Here is a 25,414-nt window from a genome sequence, read left to right as displayed (position 1 = left end):
AGGGTCACGTATACCAAACGTAACAGACGTCAAAAGGAAGAAGTCTGATGTTCATTCTGAAAATTAGAAGTATATTGAAAAGCTTTACATAGAACAATTCAAAAAGGTTGAGCAGACCCCAGATTGCAGTACATGGAGGAATGAGTGCAAGACTAAGAGATAGCGATAGTAGATACACATTGTTTGTGGTCTCTAATGTTATTATGAATAAAGTAAGCAAAATTTTGGAAGAACAGAGTTATCATTGCCTTTGGGGATGGTTGGCTGCACAAGGTGAAGTCCCAGAATTCTCTCAGATGGATGAGTTCAGCTAGGAATGGGGAGGTCTAGATTTATCCATACCCAACTCGAGGCAGAAAAGCCAAGACAAACAAGTGTAGGAAATCACTGAGCACCCTGGTCTCCATTTCCCACTCCACACCACCTTCTTCACCCTCATCATGAATGGAAATCTGGAAATCATATTACCTCTCACTGAAATAATATTTATTTTTCAGCCCACAGGGAACCCAGACTGGTTGGAGGGGACATTCCCTGTTCTGGACGTGTTGAAGTGAAGCATGGTGACACGTGGGGCTCCATCTGTGATTCGGACTTCTCTCTGGAAGCTGCCAGCGTTCTATGCAGGGAATTACAGTGTGGCACAGTTGTCTCTATCCTGGGGGGAGCTCACTTTGGAGAGGGAAATGGACAGATCTGGGCTGAAGAATTCCAGTGTGAGGGACATGAGTCCCATCTTTCACTCTGCCCAGTAGCACCCCGCCCAGAAGGAACTTGTAGCCACAGCAGGGATGTTGGAGTAGTCTGCTCAAGTAAGACCCAGAAAACATCTTTAATTGGTTCTCATACTGTGAAAGGGACAGGGTTAGGGAGTCATAGCTGTCTTTTTCTAAAGCCCTGTCTCCTTCCAGGATACACAGAAATTCGCTTGGTGAATGGCAAGACCCCGTGTGAGGGCAGAGTGGAGCTCAAAACGCTTGGTGCCTGGGGATCCCTCTGTAACTCTCACTGGGACATAGAAGATGCCCATGTTCTTTGCCAGCAGCTTAAATGTGGAGTTGCCCTTTCTACCCCAGGAGGAGCACGTTTTGGAAAAGGAAATGGTCAGATCTGGAGGCATATGTTTCACTGCACTGGGACTGAGCAGCACATGGGAGATTGTCCTGTAACTGCTCTAGGTGCTTCATTATGTCCTTCAGAGCAAGTGGCCTCTGTAATCTGCTCAGGTAAGAGGATGACGGGCAGCCAGTGATGGGTCTTAAGAGAAGGTGTACATAGGGATGAAGAACAAAAGTAAAACGCAGTGATCCATTTTGAAGGGTCATGAGAAGAATGAATACTAATTCATGCTTCAGAATATTAACCTCATTTGTCTTTTCAGAGGGTGAGCAAACCTAATTTTGATGGACTTCTTAGTTATCCAGTGCTTACTATGTGCCAAGCCCATCTCAAAGCACCTGATTTATTTCAAACTTGTTGACCATCCACCTTCCCCTCTCTCTCTAAGCTATGTTTGTCCTCAACTCATCCATATAACATTTCATCTGACTCCCCTAACCTTTTGTGTCTTGTATGACTGAGTACCTTGGTGTTTGCAGGAAACCAGTCCCAAACACTGTCCTCGTGCAATTCATCGTCTTTGGGCCCAACAAGGCCTACCATTCCAGAAGAAAGTGCTGTGGCCTGCATAGGTAAGACTCTGTGACAAATCTATGAAAATATTAATAACAAGTGGAATGCTCATTATTAATAGTTTCATTTCTCTTTGCAGAGAGTGGTCAACTTCGCCTGGTAAATGGAGGAGGTCGCTGTGCTGGGAGAGTAGAGATCTATCATGAGGGCTCCTGGGGCACCATCTGTGATGACAGCTGGGACCTGAGTGATGCCCACGTGGTTTGCAGACAGCTGGGCTGTGGAGAGGCCATTAATGCCACTGGTTCTGCTCATTTTGGGGAAGGAACAGGGCCCATCTGGCTGGATGAGATGAAATGCAATGGAAAAGAATCCCGCATTTGGCAGTGCCATTCACACGGCTGGGGGCAGCAAAATTGCAGGCACAAGGAGGATGCGGGAGTTATCTGCTCAGGTAAATTATGCATATGACCTTTGGTCATAATTACATAGAGAAAGGACTGAGGAAGGGTAGTGAGGGGTATTAATCTTAAAGATTTTCCTGAAAAGTTGATCCAAAAGGAACTATTGTGGGAGTCAGGACAACAGAAGTCTGGGTTTGATGTGCTAGTGGTACTTCATGAGCAAGGTAGTGCAACATTGTAAAGAGAAAAGACCAGAAATGGTCTTGTATATCATGAAAATGACAACAAAGTTAATAATGAAGGTTTTTAATAAATATATTTGGGGCCAGATATTAGATAGCGATCCAATAGCAACACTTGATAATTACAGTATTAGTAAAGAAGTAGATTTAAAGGGACAAGAAGAAATATATATGTTGCATCATTCTACAGAAAAAAAGATAATTACTATGCCCAAGCAATTTTTCATGGCAGATAAATGAGACTTACTTGTCATAGAAACAAAAAGTAGCATGAGGTTACTGCCCTCATACTGCTTTGTATACATGGTGAGTTTTAGAAAACATTCTGAAATTTAAAAATGTACTATTTCATATGTATTATGGGGAACAGAACTATGATTCAGTAACTTAAGGAAGTGAAAAACTCTGTATCTCAGAAGTGATTTATTCCTATTTTAATGACATAAATCTGGTAGAAGACATGCACTGCAAAACTGTGAAGTGTCAGCAAATGAACTGTCATTTTAAGAGATGTACACAAAACATTGATTTTAGTGCCTGAGTGTCTAACAATTTTAACTATCAAAGACAGTTGCAAAAAAAGGAGAATATTTTTGGGAAAAAATCCAAACTATGTAACTGAAAAAAGCCTATTAGAATGATTGAGGGTAATCTAAAGAGGACTCTGAGTCCAAAACCAAAGACCAAAAAACTATAATGTATTTATAGAATAAATAAAATATTTTAATAATATCTATGAAATCATCCAGAAGTTACTAACGAATTATTAGTAACTGACATATTGTACTATTGTACCTATTTTTAAAGCCATTCTTACATCAAGGTAAAGGGAAGGAGTCTCTGAATCTTCAGAAAAGATGCAAAACTACTAATTCTATGTTTCGCTGCAGAATTCATGTCTCTGAGACTGACCAGTGAAGCCAGCAGAGAGGCCTGTGCAGGGCGTCTGGAAGTTTTTTACAATGGAGCTTGGGGCACTGTTGGCAAGAGTAGCATGTCTGAAACCACTGTGGGTGTGGTGTGCAGGCAGCTGGGCTGTGCAGACAAAGGGAAAATCAACCCTGCATCTTTAGACAAGGCCATGTCCATTCCCATGTGGGTGGACAATGTTCAGTGTCCAAAAGGACCTGACACGCTGTGGCAGTGCCCATCATCTCCATGGGAGAAGAGACTGGCCAGCCCCTCGGAGGAGACCTGGATCACATGTGACAGTGAGTATCCATCGACCTATATGAAAATTCCATTCTGCAGCCCCGCTATCATCTTCTGATAATGGACACTGGATTTTATTTTCCTATTCTCACACTGGCTTAAATTGTTAGATTGAATTAAGCAAGAATGGGTAACTTGTGGGTAATATCTATTCTACCTGGATAGTGTAACTGGTTTTATTTAATTTGGCCTGTAGATATTCAGGATCAGCTATTATTATTCTAAAGAATATCATACTCCCCATGGTCTGCTTGAAAGATTTATTCAATTGCTTTCTCTGAGGAGGAGAGAATATGTGGTTTAATATTTGACTGTTGAATGGTCTACCTTACCTTCCCATTTTTCTTTCAAATATTATCTTGTTACACTAATATAAGGAGAAAAGCAGTCAGAAATCAGAAAGATCAATTCTGAAGTATTTCCACATTCTACAGGTTTTTTTTTTTTTTTTTTTTGAGACAGAGTTTTGCTCTTGTTCCCCAGGCTGGAGTGCAATGGCGTGATCTTGGCTCACTGCAACCTCTGCCTTCTTGGTTCAAGCAATTCTCCTGCTCCAGCCTCCTGAGTAGCTGGGATTACAGGCATGAGCCACCATGCCCAGCTAATTTTGTATTTTTAGTTGAGATGGGGTTTCCCCATGTTGGCCAGGCTGGTCTTGAACTTCTGACCTCAGGTGATCCACCCGCCTTGGCCTCCCAAATTGCTGGGATTACAGGTGTGAGCCACTGTGCCTGGCCTCTACATCTTCTTAAACTGTGAGATTTGTGACAACCTGCCAGTTTCCCAAGATCTTGCCTATTTGAAAGAATTTGACATCACATATTTATAATGTTAACTTTAATCATTTAACATTTACTGGGTCACATTATGTATCTTATGTGCAGGATGGAATATACCTAGTTGGCTGTAATGACAAGTCCTCTTATAAAAGATAAATTTTGTAAAAATATAAATTTTAGGCCAGGCACGGTGGCTCACGCCTGTAATCGGACTTTGGGAGTCCGAGGTGGGCGGATCACGAGGTCAGGAGATCGAGACCATCCTGGCTAACATGGTGAAACCCCGTCTCTACTAAAAATACAAAAAATTAGCCGGGTGTGGTGGTGGGCGCCTGTAGTCCCAGCTACTTGGGAGGCTGAGGCAGGAGAATGGTGTGAACCTGGGAGGCGGAGCTTGCAGTGAGCCGAGATTGTGCCACTGCACTCCAGCCTGGGTGACAGAGCGAGACTCTGTCTCAAAAAAAAAAAAAAAAATATATATATATATATACATATATATATATAAATTTTAATATGCACATTCAGTAAAATTTTAAATAGTTTTTTTTTTTTTTTAAGTTTCAAATCTCTCTTTTCACCTGTGAACTCCTGGAAACTTTTAGAAGTCTTAGAAATAGGCTACATGTCTCTGATTTTTCAGACAAGATAAGACTTCAGGAAGGACCCACTTCCTGTTCTGGACGTGTGGAGATCTGGCATGGAGGTTCCTGGGGGACAGTGTGTGATGACTCTTGGGACTTGGACGATGCTCAGGTGGTGTGTCAACAACTTGGCTGTGGTCCAGCTTTGAAAGCATTCAAAGAAGCAGAGTTTGGTCAGGGGACTGGACCGATATGGCTCAATGAAGTGAAGTGCAAAGGGAATGAGTCTTCCTTGTGGGATTGTCCTGCCAGACGCTGGGGCCATAGTGAGTGTGGGCACAAGGAAGACGCTGCAGTGAATTGCACAGGTAAGTGCCAGAAGCCTGGATTGAGCTTGGAATCTCTGGCAGCAAAGAGGGGTTGGGCAGTGATGTGTGTTGTGTAAAAACCGGATTTATCAGCACAGGGATCTGGTGGGGATTCTCAGAGAATCATAATGTCTCTACTGAAAGAATGATGAAAACAATTGTTATACAACGGCCTTCACCAAGGAGACACATACAACCTATATTCCCTGTGCAGAGAAAGAAAGACTAGAGGACTCTAGTTTTAGGTGGGAAAGAGTCATATACTTGGTTGAGAGGTACTAAGGGGTCAGACAAGGAAATCAGAAGGCTTGTTCTATATATCATGCAAAGAATTAACCCTCTCTCTTTCTTTTCTCCTACAGATATTTCAGTGCAGAAAACCCCACAAAAAGCCACAACAGGTATATCATGGAGTTTATGATGATGAGACCAATTATCTGCATACATAGAATTTTTCTTGTTTAGAAATTTTAGGTCAGACGTTCTGAGGATTTGATATTTACCTCAGGGATCAAGTATTTGACCTAAGAGAGAATCAGTAACTAGGGACCTTGATCTTTTCGATAAGACATGATCATATCTCTTGATATTTACTTTTACTTAGGTCGCTCATCCCGTCAGTCATCCTTTATTGCAGTCGGGATCCTTGGGGTTGTTCTGTTGGCCATTTTCGTCGCATTATTCTTCTTGACTAAAAAGCGAAGACAGAGACAGCGGCTTGCAGGTTTGAGCCAAATTTGGTTTATCTAATATGTCTACAGGATAAGGGGGTTCTTGTAAGACGAAAATATTAGACTCAAGTCTAATGGCCAGAAAGATGGACTCTAAAAGAGGTTTGAGCAGTTTCTCAAAACAGAGGGAAGGGCCAGGCACAGTGGCTCACACTTGTAATCCCTACACTTTGGGAGGCTGAGGCAGGAGAATTGCTTGAGTCCAGGAGTTCAAGACCAGCCTGGGCCACACAGGGAGCTCCCATTTCTACAGATTTTTTTCATTTTTTAAATAGAGGGAATAAGATTTCAGAGGAGAAAAGGGGTTTAGGTTGCATTGATGATTCCTGTGTTCTATCTACATGCTTAACTGGAACATTACAGAATTGAAAGTTCAGAATGAATATGTTAGATATTGTTTAGGATGACTTTTTACCTAAACATTTATTTTCTCTTACTATAATCAATCTCCTTATTACAAATTTTACTGTTCTGTTGAGCAATGTATTAGGCTCTGAAGATACAGACATGGACAATAAATCTTGGTGGAACTTCAAGTCTAGTGGAAGAGATATATATGTAAACAAATACACTACAATGTAGCCATTTTACATTAATAGGAAAAAGGAACAAAAGTGGCACAGAGAAGGGAGTAATTAACTGAAAGGGGAGGGGGATTACTGGAGGCTTCAAAGAGGCTTGGGGACAAATTTCGAACATAGAGGCTCAGAGAATTGGGTGAGGAACATTCTAGAGAAGAATATGTACAAGTCTAGAGAAGCCTAAAGGATGAAGCATTTCTTGTTTTTTTCCTGAGGGGCGGGGGGAGAAAAGTTGAGTGTGAGGAGAGAGGCTGCTAAGTCTGAAGAAGAGAAAAGGCACAAATTATGAAGTTCTTATGTTTCACATAAGATTCATAGTCATTAAAGAGTATCATGTAGGGGAGTGAAATGGTCAAGATATCTTTTAGGAAGATCTTTTGGCAACGGGATCTAGGAGGATTGAAGGAGGACCACTTGACTGACAGGAATGGCATTTTGTAACAGTTGAGGTGAAAAATGAAAAGTACTATAACATATATAGTGAGAATGGAGGGGAGAGGAAAGACTTTTAGAGATACTTAAGAAAAGCTCCAGTGAGTTATGGAAGACTGCTGGCTTCCTTGGGTAAAAACAGTGGGTTGTTTATATTAATACAATGGCAGTGGGGAAGATTTAGCCTTGTGCCTATTTCATTTGAGTGTGCGGAATTGTAAGGGAAGAGCTTGGTAGTAGAATGGGATAGAAACAATAGCAGGGATAAAGACGAGGTATGTTTGCAGCGCTTGGAAAAAACACACTTACAGCAAGGGAAATTTTATTATGATAGCTGATCCCTAACCTAGGGATCTCTGTTTTCAGTTTCCTCAAGAGGAGAGAACTTAGTCCACCAAATTCAATACCGGGAGATGAATTCTTGCCTGAATGCAGATGATCTGGACCTAATGAATTCCTCAGGTCTGTGGGTTCTTGGAGGGTCTATTGCCCAGGGGTTCAGATCAGTGGCTGCAGTTGAGGCACAGACATTCTACTTTGATAAACAGTTAAAAAAGTCTAAAAATGTAATAGGAAGCTTAGATGCATATAATGGACAAGAATGACTGAAAATTATTCTTGGAGAATATCAAAATTGCAATCATAGGGAGGCCTTTAGCTTAAGAGGCCTGTGATTATTCCTGATAGAGGTATGGAAAGAACCATGCAGAGGAATATTATGACTTGGACCTCATTTTATTAAAACAGAAATTAATCTTACAAAAGATTGTCATAAGTGACAGTTTAACTTTTTTCTTTAAATTTTGTTGTGTATATTTAAGGTATACAACATGATTTTATGGGATGTATATAGATAGTAAAAAGCTTACTAAAGCAAAGCAAATGAACACACCCATCATCTGACATAGTTACCCTTTTTTGTGTTGTTCTTGTGGCAAGAGCAGCTAAAACCTACTCACTTAGCATGAATCCTACATACAGCACAATGTTATTACCTATAATCCTCATGTTGTACATTAGACCTCTAGACTGGTTCATTCTACGTATCTGCTACTTTGTATCCTCTGACCTACATACGTCTTTCACAGTTTCTTCCATTCCCATTTCCTGTCATTTTTTTTCTCTAGCTTGATATTTATTATATTTTTCCCTAAAAGTCTAAAACCTTAAACTTTCAATATCTTTATTGCATGAGAAGCCATACAAATCCACAGAACTAGCCTTATTTCTCATCACATCATGCTGTTTTATCCTTGAACTTCTATTTAGCACCAGTGCACTAATTCTGCATCTGGGCAGGATGACTTTACTGGGTTGGAAGAAATATCCCAAAACCCATTGTCTTTACTCCATGAAGGGTCCCTGACCTTCTGAGAGGGGCCTGCCTCACTTCTTCCATCCAAAGAATTATGCATCTGCTACTGTGTCAGGGAACATATTTAAGGAACATGTACTGTTACTGTGTCAGGAAACATATTTAAGAAATAGGAAAGACTTTCTCTGCCCCTTAAATCACACATGCTTTTCTTCCTAGTTATGGGTGGTGTTTTTAGTTGCTCAAAGAGCCTCACAGTTACGTGAGAAGAGGTCTGGTTTATTTCCCAGTAATTATTTTCTTCCTTTCAGAAAATTCCCATGAGTCAGCTGATTTCAGTGCTGCTGAACTAATTTCTGTGTCTAAATTTCTTCCTATTTCTGGAATGGAAAAGGAGGCCATTCTGAGCCACACTGAAAAGGAAAATGGGAATTTATAACCCAGTGAGGTGAGTGATGAGAATTTATTAGTCATTGTTCAAAACAGCTGCATTCCTTTTGAGGACTGAGAGCTCTTCTGGCATTAGAAAGAAAGAATGTATATAAACATATTTTATTTGCTTATGTGCATATGTTTGTATATGTATATATCTATATTGAGAATATATAAAAGCTTATAAATATAACTGATTCATCTCTTAATTATACACACAAATAGTAATAACACATCCATGGAGCTAAGGAGAAACTGAGTAAACAAATACAAATTAATCTTTTGAAGACATTACAGGTATCATTTCAGGAAAAAGATAAGACATATTATACATCTACATCGTATAATACATGCTATGGTAAAGACTGTACAAGGCACTACAGAAAGTTTGCCTAAGAAACTTTGGGGTTGTTGTAAGATGATATGATATTTAAGGTAAACTTTAAAAATAACTGAAAAATAGACAGTTCCAAAGAAAGGACACAGTATGTGCAAACTAGAGGCAGAAAAAAGAACCATGCCTTTAGGGAACTATAAGAAGTTTTTTATTCAAAAACGTATATTGAACGTATTTATGGTAACAAGTGGCACCGTGAGCACTGAAGATAGAGATAAAATCTACTATTGGCAAAGACATGATTGTTTAATAAAAGATATCATAGTCTATAGGTGGTAATATGAAGAGGCCATGTGGAGAGAAGAGAGGTGGTTAGAATCTAAGCTGAAAAGGCTGCATAGAGCCCTGTAATGAATGGTCTTACCTGCTATACTTTATGTTCTCTTTCACTGGGGGTCTGTTGAAGAGGTGATGATGAGCTTTGAAAGTTTCAGATGAGACAAGATGATTAGAATTGCATTTTACAACTTGCTTTCATGAGAAAAACATAAAAAAAAATTCAAATGTGAACAAGACGTATAGTTAAGCTATACATCAAGAGAAAAAGATTGTGAAATGAGTTACTAGATACATTTTCTGTTTTTAAAATAATAATTTGGGGAAGACTACATCTAGAAATGAAATGTAGAAAAAGTATTTTTTATAGAAATATTATATATTCCTATAATTCATCTACATATTATATATCTACATTGTATAATACATGCTATGGTAAAGACTGTACAAGACACTACAGAATATTTGTATATACGAAATATAGATTAAGACAAAGGATAAGAGTTGGAACTCTTAAAGTACATGAAATATAAATTGTGAATATCTATAAAATGCAGAGCTAATTTTACATACTATATATATACACACATAGATACATAGAGTTCTTAGAAACTGTACAGAGCACAAAAGGGTTAATATATGTGAATGTAAATTGTATGTATGTGTATGTGTAACATCTAATAGATAATTGGGCAAAGCTATGAAAAGACAATTGACACAAAATGAATTTCAAATGACAGACATTTTTAAATGTCTGGAGGATTGAAATTATAATTAACAATGAGCTATCACTTTATACAAATCAGACTAACAAAAATTTGAAATACCATCAATATTTATTACTGGCGGGAATACAGAGAAAAAGGCCATTTCAAACACTGCTTTTGGAAGTGTGAGATATGGTAGGTAGCCTTTGGAGAAAGCAATCTGGCAGTTTCTATTAAAAATTATTTTCAAAGATTCACAGACCCTTTGACCCAATAATTCTATCCCTGAGAATTTCTTCTTACCAATAAAGTCACTAGTATGTAATGACAAATATACAAAGATTCCTTTCTGCCATGTTGTTGAAAGTGGCAAAAACTAGAAACAAAGTGAATGCCAATTGATGGAGTAATGACTGGAAAAATGACGGTTTAGGCAACTAAAAAAGAAAAAATCATTATAAAATATAATAATATTCCATTTATGTATTGGCTATAATTAAATACAATGCTTACATCTATAAAATTATGCATTCATATGTGCATAAAGAAGCTAAAAATTCTAGTGTTGTAAACTGAGAACCATGAATAATATTTGATTTATAATCTGAAGCATATGAATGTTTTCTGATGTGATAAATGATAATTGAACTACTTTTCCCTGAAAGAGTAATCACTGCTGAATAACTGCTTCAGAATCACATGAGGGTGCTTTTAAAAAATGACGATTCTTTTTTTGTTTTTAATCTTTAAGTTCTGGGATACATGTGTTGAATGTGCAGGTTTGTTACATAGGTATACACGTGTCATGGTGGTTTGTTGTGCCTATCAACCCGCCATCTAGGTTTTAAGCCCTGCATGCATTAGGAGCTTAAATTTGTCTTAATGCTCTCCTTCCCCTTGCCCCCACCCCGCAGCAGGCCCCATGTGTGATGTTCCCCTCCCTGTGTCCATGTGTTCTCATTGTTCAACTCCAACTTATGAGTGAGAACATGCGGTGTTTGGTTTTCCGTTCCTGTGTTAGTTTGCTGAGAATGATGGTTTCCAGCTTCATCCATATCCCTGCAAAGGACATGAACTCATTCTTTTTTATGGCTCTATAGTATTCCATGGTGTGTATGTGCCACATTTTCTTTATCCAGTCTATCATTGATGGGCATTTAAGTTGGTTCCATGTCTTTGCTATTGTGAATAGTGCTGCAATAAACATGTGTGCCTGTGTCTTTATAGTAGAATGATTTATAATCCTTTGGGTGTATACCCAGTAATGGGATTGGTGGGTCAAATGGTATTTCTGGTTCTAGATCCTTGAGGAATTGCTACATTGTCTTCCACAATGGTTGAACTAATTTACACTCCCACCAACACTGTAAAAGCATTTCTATTTCTCCACATCCTCTCCAGCATCCGTTGTTTCCTGACTTTTTAATGATCACCATTCTAACTGGTGTGAGATGGTATCTCATTGTGGTTTTGATTTGCATTTCTCAGATGACCAATGATGATGAGCCTTTCTTCACATGTTTATTGGCCACATAAATGTCTTCTTTTGAGAAGTGTCTGTTCATATCCTTTGCCCACTTTTTGATGGGTTGTTTGTGTTTCTCTTGTAGATTTGTTAAAGTTCCTTGTAGATTCTGGTTATTAGCTCTTTGTCAGATGCCTAGATTGCAAAAATTTTCTCCCATTCTGTAGGTTGCCTGTTCACCCTGATGATAGTTTCTTTTGCTGTGTAGAAGCTATTTAGTTTAATTAGATCCCATTTGTCAATTTTTGGCTTTTGTTGCCATTGCTTTTGGTGTTTTAGTTATGAAGTCTTTGCCCATGCCTATGTACTGAATGGTACTGCCTAGGTTTTCTTCTAGGGTTTTTATGGTTTTAGGTCTTATGTTTAAGTCTTTAATCCATCTTGAGTTAATTTTTGTATACGGTGTAAGGAAGTGGTCCAGTTTCTGTTTTCTGCATATGGTTAGCCAATTTTCCCAGCGCCATTTATTGAATAGGGAATCCTTTCCTCATTGCTTGTTTTTGGCAGGTTTGTTGAAGATCAGATGGTTGTAGAGGTGTGGTGTTACTTCTGAGGCCTCTGTCCTGTGCCATTGGTCTATATATCTGTTTTGGTACCAGTACCATGCTGTTTTGATAACTGTAGACTTGCAGTAAGTTTGAAGTCAGATAGCGTGATGCTTCCAGCTCTGTTCTTTTTGCTTAGGATTGTCTTGGCTATACAGGCTCTATTTTTGTTCCATATCAAATTTAAAGTAGATTTTTCCAATTCTGTAAAGAAAGTCGATGGTAGCTTGATGAGAATAGCATTGAATCTATAAATAACTTTGGGCAGTATGGCCATTTTCACAATATTGATTCTTCCTATCTATGAGCATGGAATGTTTTTCCATTTGTTTGTGTCCTCTTTTCTTTCCTTGAGCACTGGTTGGTAGTTCTCCTTTAAGAGGTCCTTCACATCCCTTGTAAGTTGTATTCCTAGGTATTTTATTCTCTTTGTAGGAATTGTGAATAGGAGTTCACTAATGATTTGGCTCTCTGCTTGTCTATTATTGGTGTATAGGAATGCTTGTGATTTTTGCACATTGATTTTGTATCCTGAGACTTTGCTGAAGTTGCTTATCTGCTTAAGGAGTTTTTCGGCTGAGACAATGGGGTTTTCTAAATATACAATTATGTCATCTGCAACAAGAGATAATTTGAGTTCCTATTCCTGTTTGAATACCCTTTATTTCTTTCTCATGCCTGATTGCCCTGGCCAGAACTTCCAATACTCTGTTGAATAGGAGTGGTGAGAGAAGACATCCTTGTCTTGTGCTGGTTTTCAAAAGGAATGCTTCTAGGTTTTGCCCATTCAATATTATATTGGCTATGGGTTTGTCATAATTAGCTCTTATTATTTTGAGATACGTTTCATCAATATCTAGTTTATTGAGAGTTTTTAGCATGAAGCACTGTTGAATTTTATCGAAGGCGTTTTCTGCATCTGTTGAGACAATCATTTGGTTTTTGTGATTTGTTCTGTTTATATGATGGATTACGTTTATTGATTTACATATGTTGAACCAGCCTTACATCCAGGGATGATGCCAACTTGATTGTGGTGGATAAGCTTTTTAATGTACTGCTGGATTTGGTTTGCCAGTATTTTATTGAGGATTTTCGCATCAATGTTCATCAGGGATATTGGCCTGGAATTTTCTTTTCTTTGTTGTGTCTCTGCCAGGTTTTGGTGTCAGGATGATGCTGACCTCATAAAATGAGTTAGGGAGGAGTCTCTCTTTTTCTATTGTTTGGGATAGTTTCAGAAGGAATGGTATTTGCTCTTCTTTGTACCTCTGGTAGAATTTGGCTGTGAATTCATCTGGTCATGGTTTTTTTTTTTTTTTTTTTTTGGTTGGTAGGCTATTACTTACTGCCTCAATTTCATAACTTGTTATTGGTCTAGTCAGAAATTCGACTTCTTCCTCGTTTAGTCTTGGGAGGATGTATGTGTCCAGGAATTTATCCATTTCTTTTAGATTTTCTAGTTTATTTGTGTAGAGGTGTTTATAGCATTCTCTGATGGTAGTTTGCATTTCTGTGGGATCAGCGGTGATATCCCCTCTATCACTTTTTATTATATCTATTTGATTCTTCTCTCTTTTCTTCTTTATTAGTCTGGCTAGTGGTCTGTCGATTCTGTTTATCTTTTCAAAAAACCAGCTCCTGGGTTGATTGATTTTTGAAGGGTTTTTCATGTCTCCATCTCCTTTGGTTTTGCTCTGATCTTAGTTATTTCTTGTCTTCTGCTAGCTTTTGAATTTGTTTGCTCTTACTTCTCTAGTTCTTTTAATTGTGATGTTAGGGTGTTGATTCTAAATATTTCCCACTTTCTGATGTGGGCATTTAGTGCTATACATTTCCCTCTTAACACTGCTTTAGCTGTGTCCCAGAGATTTTTGTATGTTGTGTCTTTATTCTCATTGGTTTCAAAGAACTTCATTATTTCTGCCATAATTTTGTTACTTATTCAGTAGTCATTCTGGAGCAGGTTGTTCAGTTTCCACGTAGTTGTGAGGTTTCGAGTGAGTTTCTTAATCTTGAGTTCTAATTTGATTGCACTGTGGTTTGAGAGACTGTTATGATTTCTGTTCTTTTGCATTTGCTGAGGAGTGTTTTATTTCCAATTATGAGGTCCATTTTAGAATAAGTGCTATGTGGTGCTGAGAAGAATGTATATTCTGTTGATTTGGAGTGGAGAGTTCTGTAGATGTCTATTAGGTCCATTTGGTCCAGAGCTGTGTTCAGGTCCTGAATATCCTTGTTAATTTTCTGTCTCATTGATCTGTCTAATATTGACAATGGGGTTTTAAAGTCTCCCACTACTATTGTGTGGGAGTCTAAGTCTATTTGTAGGTCTCTAAGAACTTGCTTTATGAATCTGGGTGCTCCTGTATTGGGTGCATATGTATTTAGTATAGTTAGCTCTTCTTGTTGCATTGATTCCTTTACCATTATGTAATGACCTTCTGTGTCTTTTTTTAATCTTTATTGGCTTAAGGTCTATTTTATCATAGACTAGAATTGCAACCCCTGTTTTCTTTTTTTTGTTTTCCATTTGCTTGTTATGTTTTCCTCCATCCTTTTATTTTGAGCCTGTGTGTGTCTTGAACATGAGGTGGGTCTCCTGAATACAGCACGCCGATGGATCTTGACTCTTTATCCAATTTGCCAGTCTGTGTCTTTTAATTGGGGGCATTTCACCCATTTACATTTAAGGTTAATATTGTTGTGTGTGAATTTGATCCTGTCATCATGATGCTAACTGGTTATTTTGCACATTAGTTGATGTGGTTTCTTCATAGTATCATTGGTCTTTATATTTTGGTGTGTTTTTGCAGTGGCTGGTACTAGTTTTTCTTTTCCATATTTAGTGCTTCCTTCAGGAGCTCTTGTAAGGCAGGCCTGATGGTGACAAAATCCCTCAGCATTTGCTTTTCTGTAAAGGATCTTATTTATCCTTCACTCATGAAGCTTAGCTTGGCTGAATATGAAATTCTGGGTTGAAAATTGTTTCCTTTATGAATATTAAATATTGGCCCCCACTCTCTTCTGGCTTGTATGGTGTCTGGAGAAAGTTCTGCTGTTAGTCAGATGGGCTGCCCTTTGTAGGTAACCTGACGTTTCTCTCTGGTGCCCTTAACATTTTTTCATTCATTTCAGCCTTGGAGAAACGGATGATTATGTGTCTTCGGGTTGCTCTTCTTGGGGAGTATCTTAGTGGTGTTCCCTGTATTTCCTGAATTTGAATGTTGGCTTGTCTTGCTAGGTTGTGGAAGTTCTCCTGGATAATATCCTGAAGAGTGTTTTCCAACTTGGTTCCATTCTCCCCATCACTTTCAGGTACACCAATCAATCATAGGTTTGTTCTTTTCACATAGTCCCATATTTCTTGGAGGCTTTGTTTGTTCCTTTTCATTCTTTTTTCTCCAATCTTGTCTTCATTCCTTTTTTCAGTAAGTTGATCTTCAATTACTGTTATCCTTTCTTCCACTTGATCGATTTGGCTATTGATACTTGTGTATACTTCACGAAGTTCTCATGCTGTGTTTTTCAGCTCCATCAGGTCATTTGTGTTCTTCTCTAAACTGGTTATTCTAGTTAGCAGTTCCTGTAACCTTTAATCAGGTTCTTAGCCTCCTTGCATTGGGTTAGAACATGCTCCTTTAGCTCAGACAAGTTTGTTAGTATCCACCTTCTGAAGCCCACTTCTGTCAATTCATCAACCTCATTATCTGTCCAGTTTTGTGCCCTTGCTGGACAGGAGTTGTGATCAATTAAAGGAGAAGAGCCATTCTGGTTTTTGGAATTTTCAGCATTTATGCACTTGTTTTTCCTCATCTTCATCGATTTATCTACCTTTGATATTTGGAGCTGATGACCTTTGTTGGGGTTTTTGTGTAGGGGTCCTTTTTGTTGATGTTAATATTATTGATTTCTGTTTGTTAGTTTTTCTTATAACAGTCAGGCCCCTCTTCTGTAATTCTGCTGCAGTTTGATGGAGGTCCACTCCAGACCCTATTTGCCTGGGTATTACCAGCGAAGGCTGCAGAACAGCAAAGATTGCTGCCTTCTCATTCCTCTGGAAGTTTCGTCCCAGAGGGGTACTGGCCTGATGCCAGCCAGAGCTCTCTTGCATGAGGTGTCTGTTGACCCCTGCTTGGAGGTCTCTCCTAGTCACTAGGCATGGGGGTCAGGGACCCACTTGAGGAGGCAGTCTGTCCCTTAGCAGAGCTCGAGCGCTGTGCTGGGAGAATTCTCCTTGTCAGGATCTGCTGCTCTCTTCAGAGCCAGAAGACAGGAATGTTTAAGTGCGCTGAAGCTGCACCCACAGCCGCCCCATTCCCCCAGGTGCTCTGTCCCAGGGAGATGGGAGTTTTATCTATAAGCCCCTGAGGGGGGCTGCTGCCTTTCTTTCAGAGATGCCCTGCCCAGAGAGGAGGAATCTAGAGAGGCAATCTGGCCAACGGCCTCCTTGGCCTCCTTAGCGCTGTCACGGGAAAACCGTCTACTCAAGTCTCAGTGATGGCAGATGTCCCTCCCCCGACCAAGCTTGATTGTCCGAGTTCGACTTCAGACTGCAGTGCTAGCATCGAGAATTTCAAGTCAGTAGTTCGTGACTTGCTGCGCTTTGTGGGAGTGGGACCCGCTGAGTGAGACCACTTGGCTCCCTTGCTTCAGCCCCCTTTCCAGGGGAGTGAAAGGTTCTGTCTCCCTGGGGTTCTAGGCGCCACTCAGTTGGAAATGCAGAAATGACTCAGTTGGAAATGCAGAGACTTCTGCGTTGGTCTCACTGGGAGCTGCAGACTGGAGCTGTTCCTATTCAGCCATCTTGCCAGCTCCTATAAATGGCATTTCTTAATCTTACTGTATTTCCATGGAATAAAAGTAATTCTTATGCACACTGAAGTTAAAAAAAAATAGCATTTAAAATTTCTGCTCAGGAAAGTAGTATAATTTTTAACATAAGTGAGTTTCTCTTTGTGTTATAATGTAATGAATTCTTATACGCATATGGAGAGGAAAATGACATTTTTCTATTTATGGTTTTAGTTCAGCCTTTAAGATACCTTGATGAAGACCTGGACTATTGAATGGAGCAGAAATTCACCTCTCTCACTGACTATTACAGTTGCATTTTTATGGAGTTCTTCTTCTCCTAGGATTCCTAAGACTGCTGCTGAATTTATAAAAATTAAGTTTGTGAATGTGACTACTTAGTGGTGTATATGAGACTTTCAAGGGAATTAAATAAATAAATAAGAATGTTATTGATTTGAGTTTGCTTTAATTACTTGTCCTTAATTCTATTAATTTCTAAATGGGCTTCCTAATTTTTTGTAGAGTTTCCTAGATGTATTATAATGTGTTTTATTTGACAGTGTTTCAATTTGCATATACAGTACTGTATATTTTTTCTTATTTGGTTTGAATAATTTTCCTATTACCAAATAAAAATAAATTTATTTTTACTTTAGTTTTTCTAAGACAGGAAAAGTTAATGATATTGAAGGGTCTGTAAATAATATATGGCTAACTTTATAAGGCATGACTCACAACGATTCTTTAACTGCTTTTTGTTACTGTAATTCTGTTCACTAGAATAAAATGCAGAGCCACACCTGGTGAGGGCACAAAGACTCAGTGGTTTCGTTTCTCATTCCTCAGGACATTATAAGTAAAGCTTAAATACATACATAAACTATGTCTTTTCTATGTAAATATAATGGTTATAAAGTAAGTTTGTATATTACTAAAAGTTACTTATGATACATATTCACATAAAGAAAAGATAGCATTTAAAGTAGTACAACACTAAACTTAGGGCCTACTAACTTGCTAAATATCCTAGTTTTCTATGCAATTGATTTTTTTTTAATTTTAGTGGGTCCACTGTAAGTGTATATATATATGGGGTATATGAGATATTTTGATAAAGGCACACAATGTGTAATCATCACATCAGGGTAAATTAGGTATTCATCACCTCAAGCATTTATCCTTTCTTTGTGTTATTTATTTTTTAAATGACAAAATTTTACATATTTATCATGTTCAATATGATATTTTGAAATATGTATACATTGTGGAATGGCTAGATCAAGCTAATTGACATATGCATTACCTAACATACTTACTTTTTTCTGTGAGAACACTTAAAACCTCCTCTGAGTGATTTTCGAGAATACAATACCTTGTTATTAACTGTAGTCACCATGTTGTACAATAGATCTCTTAACTTTCTCCTCCTACCCAATGAAAATTTTGTATCCTTTGACCAACATCCTCTAGACACCTTCCTCCAGCTACTGGTAACCACCACTCTACTCTCTGTTTCTATAAGTTCAACTTTTTCACATTCCACTTATAAATGAGGTAATATGACATTTGTCTTTCTGTGCCTGGCTTATTTCACTTAACATAATGTCCTCTAGGATCATTTGTTTTGTTGCAAAGGACAGGATTTCCCTCTTTTTAAAGGCTAAATAGTATTCCATTGTGTATATGTACCACATTTTCTTCATTCATCCATCAGCGGACACTTAGGTTGATTCCATATGTGGGTTATTGTGACTAGTGCTACAATAAACATGAGCATGCAGATGTCTCTTCAACATGCTGATTTCCTTTACTTTGGAAATATAGACAGAAGTGGAATTGCTGAATCATATGGTAATTCTATTTTTAATTTTTAAGGCTGTCCTAATTTGCATTCTCACCACTAGTTTACAAGGGATCCCTTTTCCCCACAACCTCATCAATCCTCATCTTTCATGTTTTTGATTATAGCTATCTAATAGGTATAAGGTGAGGTGATACTGTGGTTTTAATTTGCCTTTTCCTGATGATTAGTGATGTTAAGGATTTTTTTTCATATACCTGTTTGACAGTTGTATGTTTTCCTTTGACAAATATCTGTTGTTCTGCCCATTTTTAATGAGGTTGTTTTCTCAATATTGGGTTGTTTGAGTTCTCTCTATATTTTGGATATTAACCCATTATCAGTATGATGTAAACTCATTCGTTTACGTTCATCTTTGTTGTCTGTGTTTTATTTCCAAAGAATCATTGTCATGAAATTTCCCGTGCCCCACCCTTTATTATTATTATTGTTGTACTTTAAGTTCTGGGATACACGTGCAGAACATGCAGTTTTGTTGCATAGGTATACATGTGCCATGGTAGTTTGCTGCACCTATCAACCCATCATCCAGGTTTTAAGCCCTGCAGGTTTTAAGGTATTTGTCCTAATGCTCTCCCTCTCCTTGCACCCAACTCCCCGACAGGCCCCAGTGTGTGATGTTGCTCTCCCTGTGTCCATGTGTTCTCATTGTTCAACTCCCACTTATAAGTGAGAACATGTGGTGTTTGGTTTTCTGTTCCTGTGTTAGTTTGCTAATAATGATGGTTTCCAGCTTCATCCATGTCCCTGCCAAGAACATAAACTCATTCTTTTTTATGGCTGCATAGTATTCCATGGTGTACATGTGCCACATTTTCTTTATCCAGTCTATCACTGATGGACATTTGGGTTGGTTCCAAGTCTTTGCTATTGTGAATAGTGCTGCAATAAATATACGTGTGCATGTGTGTTTATAGTGGAATGATTTATAATCATTTGGGTATATACCCAGTAATGGGATTACTGGGTCAAATGGTATTTCTAGTTCTAGATCCTTGAGGAATCGCCACACTGTCTTCCACAATGGTTGAACTAATTTACACTTATACAATGAGTTTGGAAGTATTCACTCCTCCTCTATTTTTTGGAATAGTTTGAGTAAGATTGGTATTAGTTCTCTTCTTTAAATGCTTGGCAGAATCAGCATTGAACCCATTGGATCCCAGAATTTTTATTTTTTAATGGGAGATTTTTTACTATGGCTTCAATCTTATTATTGTTATTGATCTGTTCAGGTTTTGGATTTCTTTATTGTTCAATCTTCGTAGGTTGTATGTGTCTAGGAGTTTGTCCATGTCTTCTAGATTTTCCAATTTATTAGCTTATAGTTAGTCATAGTTGCCACTAATGATCCTTCGAATTTCTGCAGTAATAATTTTCATGTCTTCTTTTTCATCTCTGACTTTATTTATTCGGATTCTCCCTCTTTTTCTTAGTCTAGCTTACTAAACTAAAGGTTTGTTAATTTTGTTTAATTTTCAAAAAACCAACTGTTTGATTTGTTGATCTTTTGTATTGTTTTATTCATTTTAATTTTATTTATTTCTGCTCTGATTTTTATTATTTTGTTTCATCTTCTAATTTCGGCTTTGATTTGCTCTTGTTTTTGCTCCAGTTTTTTAAGATGCATGATTAGGTTGCTTATTTGAAGTCTTTCTACCTTTTTGATGGATGTGTTTATTGATATATATTTTCTTCTTAATATTGCTTTTGATGTATCCAATAAGTTTTGGTATGTTTTGTTTCCATTTTCATTTGTTCACAAAATTTTTAAATTTTATTTTTAATTTCTTCATTGACCAATGTTCATTCAAGAGCATATTTTTTAATATCTGTGTATTTATAGTTTCCAATGTTACTTTTGTTACTGATTTCTAGTTTTTTTCTACTGTGGTCAGAAAAAAAAATTGATATGATCTCAATTTCTTTGAACTTCTTGAGGCTTGTTTTGTCCTCTAACATGTGGTCTATCTTGAAGAATATTCTAAGTGCTGAGAAGAATGTGTATTCTGAAGCTCCTGAATGAAATGTTCTATAAATGTCTCTTAAGTCTATTTAGTCTATAGTGCAGATTAACTCTGATGTTTCTTTGTTGATTTTCTGTTGTGATGATCTATCCAGTGCTGAAAGTGGAATATTGAAGTTCCCAACTTCAGTTGTATTGGGTTTATTTCTCTTTAACTTAATAACATTTAATAACATTTGCTTTATGTATTTGGGGACTCCAGTACTGGGTGCATATATATTTACAATTGTTATATCCTCTTGCTAAGTCGACTCCTTTATTATTATATAATGATCTTCCTTGTTTCTTTTTATAGATTTGTCCTGAAATCTATTTTGTCTGATATAAGAGTGACTATTCCCTTTTCTTTTTTGGTTTAAATTTGCATGGAATATCTTTTCTATCCTTTCATTTTTAGTCTATGTGTGTTTATATAGGCAAAGTGAATTTCTTGTAGGAAGCATGCAGTTGGGTCTTTTTGTTATTATTCATTCAGCCACTCTATGTGTTCTAATTGGAGAATTTAGTCCATTAACCGTCAATGTATTATTGACAGGAAAGGACTTACTACTGCCATTTTGTTATTTGTTTTCTAGTTGTTTCATTGGTCCTGTCTTCATTTCTTACTGTCTTCCTTTGTGTACAAGTGATTTTCTCTGGTAGTATGTTTTAGTTTTTTGCTTTCTAGTTTTTATGTATCTATTTTAGTTTTTCTTCTCATGGTTACCATGAGGCTTGTAAATAACATCTTATAACAGATTTTTTTAAGCTGATGAAAACTTAATTATACTCATAATAGAAACGGAAACAAGCAAAGAGAAAACTAAAAAATCTACACTTTAACTTTATTCTCCCCTTATCATTTTTTGAGTTGTTGTCTATATATCTTTTTATATTGCCTGTATTTAACAAATCATTGTAGTTGTTATTATTCTTGATAGGCTTGTCTTTTAGTCTTCATACTAAATATATGCATGGTTTACACACTGCAATTACAGTGTCAGAGGTGTTCTATATTTGTTTGTGTACTTACTTTTACTGGTGAGTTTTATACTTTCAGGTGATTTCTTGTTGTTTGTTAGCACCTTATCTTTCAGACTGAAAAATTCCCTTCAGCAAATTTTTGCAAAGCAGGGCTGATGTTAATGAAATCCCTTAGGTTTTTGTTTGTCTTGGAAAGTCTTTATTTCTCCTTCATGTTTGAAGGATAATTTTGCTGGATATAACATTCTAAGTTGAAGAGGTTTTTTTCTTCACTACTTTGAATATATTATCCCCATCCCACTTGGCCTGTAAGGTTTCCACTAAAAAGTCAACTGCCACATGTATCAGAGTTCCTTTACATGTTATTTGCTTCTTTTCTCTTGCTGCTTTTAGGATACTTTGTCCTTGAACTTTGAGAGTTTGATTATTTTGTGTCTTGAGGTAGTCTCATTTGAATTGAATCTCCTTGGTCTTCTTTGAGCTTTATGTACCTGGGTATTCAAATCTTCCTCTAGGTTTGAAAAGTTGCTATTTCTTTGAATAAAACTTCTTCACTGATCTCTTATTTTACATCCTTTTTAAGGCCAATAACTCTTAGATTTGCCCTTTTGAGGGTATTTTCTAGAACTTGTAGGTGTTTTCACTCCTTTTAACTCTTTTTTTCTCCTTGGACTCTGTCTTTTTAATATAGCTATTTTCAAGCTCACTAATTCTTTTTTTTCTTTACGTCTTCTAAAAAAATGGGATACATGGGCAGAATGTGCAGGTTGGTTACATAGGTATATGTGTGCCATGGTGGTTTGCTGTAACTATTGACCCATCCTCTAAGTTCCCTCCCCTGACTCCCCACCTCCCAATAGGCTCTGATGTGTGTTGTTCCCCTCCCTGTGTCCATGTGTTCTCAATGTTCAACTGCAACTTATGAGTGAGAACATGTATTGTTTGGTTTACTGTTCCTGTGTTAGTTTGCTGAGGATGATGGCTTCCAGCTTCATCCATGTCCCTGCAAAGGACATGAACTCATTCCTTTTTATGGCTTCATGGTATTCAATGGGGTAAATGTGCCACATTTTCTTTATCCAGTGTATCATTGATGAGCATTTGGGTTGGCTCCAAGTCTTTGCTATTGCAAATAGTGCTGCAATAAACATACCTGTGCATGTGTCCTTATAGTAGAATGATTTATATTCGTTTGGGTATATATCCAGTAATGGGATTGCCGGGTCAAATGGTATTTCTGGTTCTAGATCCTTGAAGAATCACCATACTGTCTTCCACAATGGTTGAACTAATTTACATTCCCACCAACAGTGTAAAAGTGTCCCTCACCAGCATCTATTATTTCCTGACTTTTTAATAATTGCCATTCTGACTGGCATGAGATGGTATCTTATTGTGGTTTTGATTTGCATTTTTCTGATGAACAGTGATGTTGAGCTTTTTTTATGTTTGTTGGCAGTGTAAATGTCTTCTTTTGTAAGCTCATTAATTCTTTATTCTGCTTGATCAATACTGCTGAGAGACACTGTTGTATTTTCCAGCTTGTCAATTGAATTTTTCTGCTCCAGAATATCTGCTTTGTTTTTTAAATTATTTAATATCTTTGTTAAATTTCTCTGATAGAATTCTGTACTTCTTTTCTGTGTTATCTTGAAGTTTGTTGAGCTTCTGAAAGACAGCTATTTTTAATTCCATGTCTGAGAGGTTGCATGTCTCCATCACTCTAGAATTAATCACTGGTGCCTTATTTAATCTACTTAATGAAATCACATTTTCCTCAATGTTCCTGATGCTTGCAAACATTCACTAATGTCTAGACATTGCAGAGTTGATTGTTTATTTCAATCTTCACAATCTGGGCTTGTTTTTATTCATCCTTTTTGAAAGGGCTTTTAAATAATTCAAATTAGAAATTAAGACAGAGAAATTCACCCAAAGCCATACAGTTACATGGAAATTGAATAACATGATCCTGAATGGCTTTTGGGTAATGAAATTAAGGCAGAAATCAAGAAGTTCTTTGAAACTAATGAGAACAAAGATAAATATACCAGAATCTCTGGGACACAGCTAAAGCAGTGTTAAGAGGGAAACTCATAAGACTAAATTCCCATATCAAAAACTTAGACCGATCTCGTTAACAACCTAATATCACAACTAAAAGAACTAGAGAACCAAATGCAAACAAACTCCAAAAGTAGCAGAACACAAGAAATTACCAGTCAGTGCTGAACTGAAAAAAATAGAGACATGAAAGAACATCCAAAAAATCCAGAAATTCAGGGGTTGGCGTTTTGAAAAAATTAATAAAATAGACCACTAGCTAGACTAATAAAGAAGAAAAGAGAGAGGATTCAAACATACACAGTCAGAAATGATAAGGGGGATATTACCACTGACCCCACAGAAATACAAACAACCATCAGAGAATATTATGAACACCTCTATGCACATAAACTAGAAAATCTAGAAGAAATGGATAAATTCCTGAACACACAACACCATCCCAAGACTGAACCAGGAAGAAATTGATTTCCTAAGCAGACCAATAATGAGCTCTGAAATTAAGGTAGTAATAAATAGCCTACCAAACAAAAAAAAAAAAAAAAAGCCCAGCACCAGAGGGATAGAGGGATTCACAGCTGAATTCTACCAGCTGTGCAAAGAAAAGATGGTACTATTTATATTGAAACTATTACAAAAAATTGAGGAGAAGGAACTCCTTCCTAACTCATTCTATGAAGTTAGCATCATCCTGATACCAAAAACTGGCAGAGATACAACAAAAAGAGAAAACTTCAGGCCAATATCCTTGATGAACATCGATGCAAAAATCCTCAACAAGATACTGGCAAACTGAATCCAGCAGCACATCAAAAAGCTTATCCACTACGATCAAGTAGGCCTCATCCTTGTGATGCAAGATTGCTTCAACATATGCAAATCAATAAATGTGATTCATCACATACACAGAATTAAAGACAAAAACCACATGATTATATCAATAGGTGCAGAAAGGACTTTCAATAAAATTCATCATCGATTTATGCTAAAAACTGTCAATAAACTAGTTGTTGAAGGAACATACCTCAAAATAATAAGAGCCATCTATGACAAACCCACAGCCAACATCATACTGAATATGCAAAAGCTAGAAGCATTCACCTTGAAAGCCAGCACAAGACAAGGATGCCCTCTCTCACACTCCTATTCAACATAGTATTGGAAGTTCTGGCCAGGCCAATCAGGCAAGAGAAAGAAATAAAGCGCATCCAAACAGGAAGAGAGGAAGCCGAACTATCTCTGTTTGCAGGCGACATAATCCTATATCTACAAAACCCCATAGTCTCAGCCCAAAAGCTTCTTACACTCATAAATATCTTCAGCAAAGTCTCAGGATACAAAATGTGCAAACATCATTAGCATTCTTATACACCAACAACAGTCAAGCAGAGAGCAAAATCAGGAACACAATTATCATTCAGAATTGCCACAAAAAGAATATAATGCCTAGGAATTCAGCTAACCAGGGAGGCGAAAGATCTCTACAAGGAGAACTACAAACCACTGCTTAAAGAAATCAGAGATGAAAGAAACAAATTGAAAAA

General features: G+C 37.4%; 1 protein-coding gene across 7 annotated transcripts in view; it reads left to right on the top strand.

The window, feature by feature from the left end:
* Positions 1-17,774, top strand: part of CD163 (CD163 molecule) — a 32,967-nt gene extending 15,193 nt beyond the window's left edge. For 2 of the 7 annotated variants that reach the window (NR_163255.1, NM_203416.4), the window contains exons 7-17: positions 498-812; positions 912-1,226; positions 1,599-1,691; positions 1,772-2,086; positions 3,169-3,489; positions 4,910-5,218; positions 5,581-5,619; positions 5,823-5,942; positions 7,329-7,424; positions 8,672-8,725; positions 17,188-17,774. Coding sequence is in view for 6 of the 7 variants with exons in the window: in NM_203416.4 (NP_981961.2) it covers positions 498-812; positions 912-1,226; positions 1,599-1,691; positions 1,772-2,086; positions 3,169-3,489; positions 4,910-5,218; positions 5,581-5,619; positions 5,823-5,942; positions 7,329-7,424; positions 8,672-8,694 (1,946 nt within the window). In the remaining variant the exon portion in view is untranslated. Of the gene's footprint in view, positions 1-497; positions 1,227-1,598; positions 1,692-1,771; positions 2,087-3,168; positions 3,490-4,909; positions 5,219-5,580; positions 5,620-5,822; positions 5,943-7,328; positions 8,519-8,588; positions 8,726-17,187 lie in introns of those variants that run through there. The other 5 variants (NM_001370145.1, NM_004244.6, NM_001370146.1 and 2 more) reach the window with 5 other exon arrangements.

This window comes from Homo sapiens, chromosome 12 (genome assembly GCF_000001405.40).
Source record: "Homo sapiens chromosome 12, GRCh38.p14 Primary Assembly".
Lineage (NCBI taxonomy): Eukaryota > Metazoa > Chordata > Mammalia > Primates > Hominidae > Homo > Homo sapiens.
Note: the sequence above shows the minus strand (reverse complement) of the source record. Positions and strands in the feature narration are given on the sequence as shown.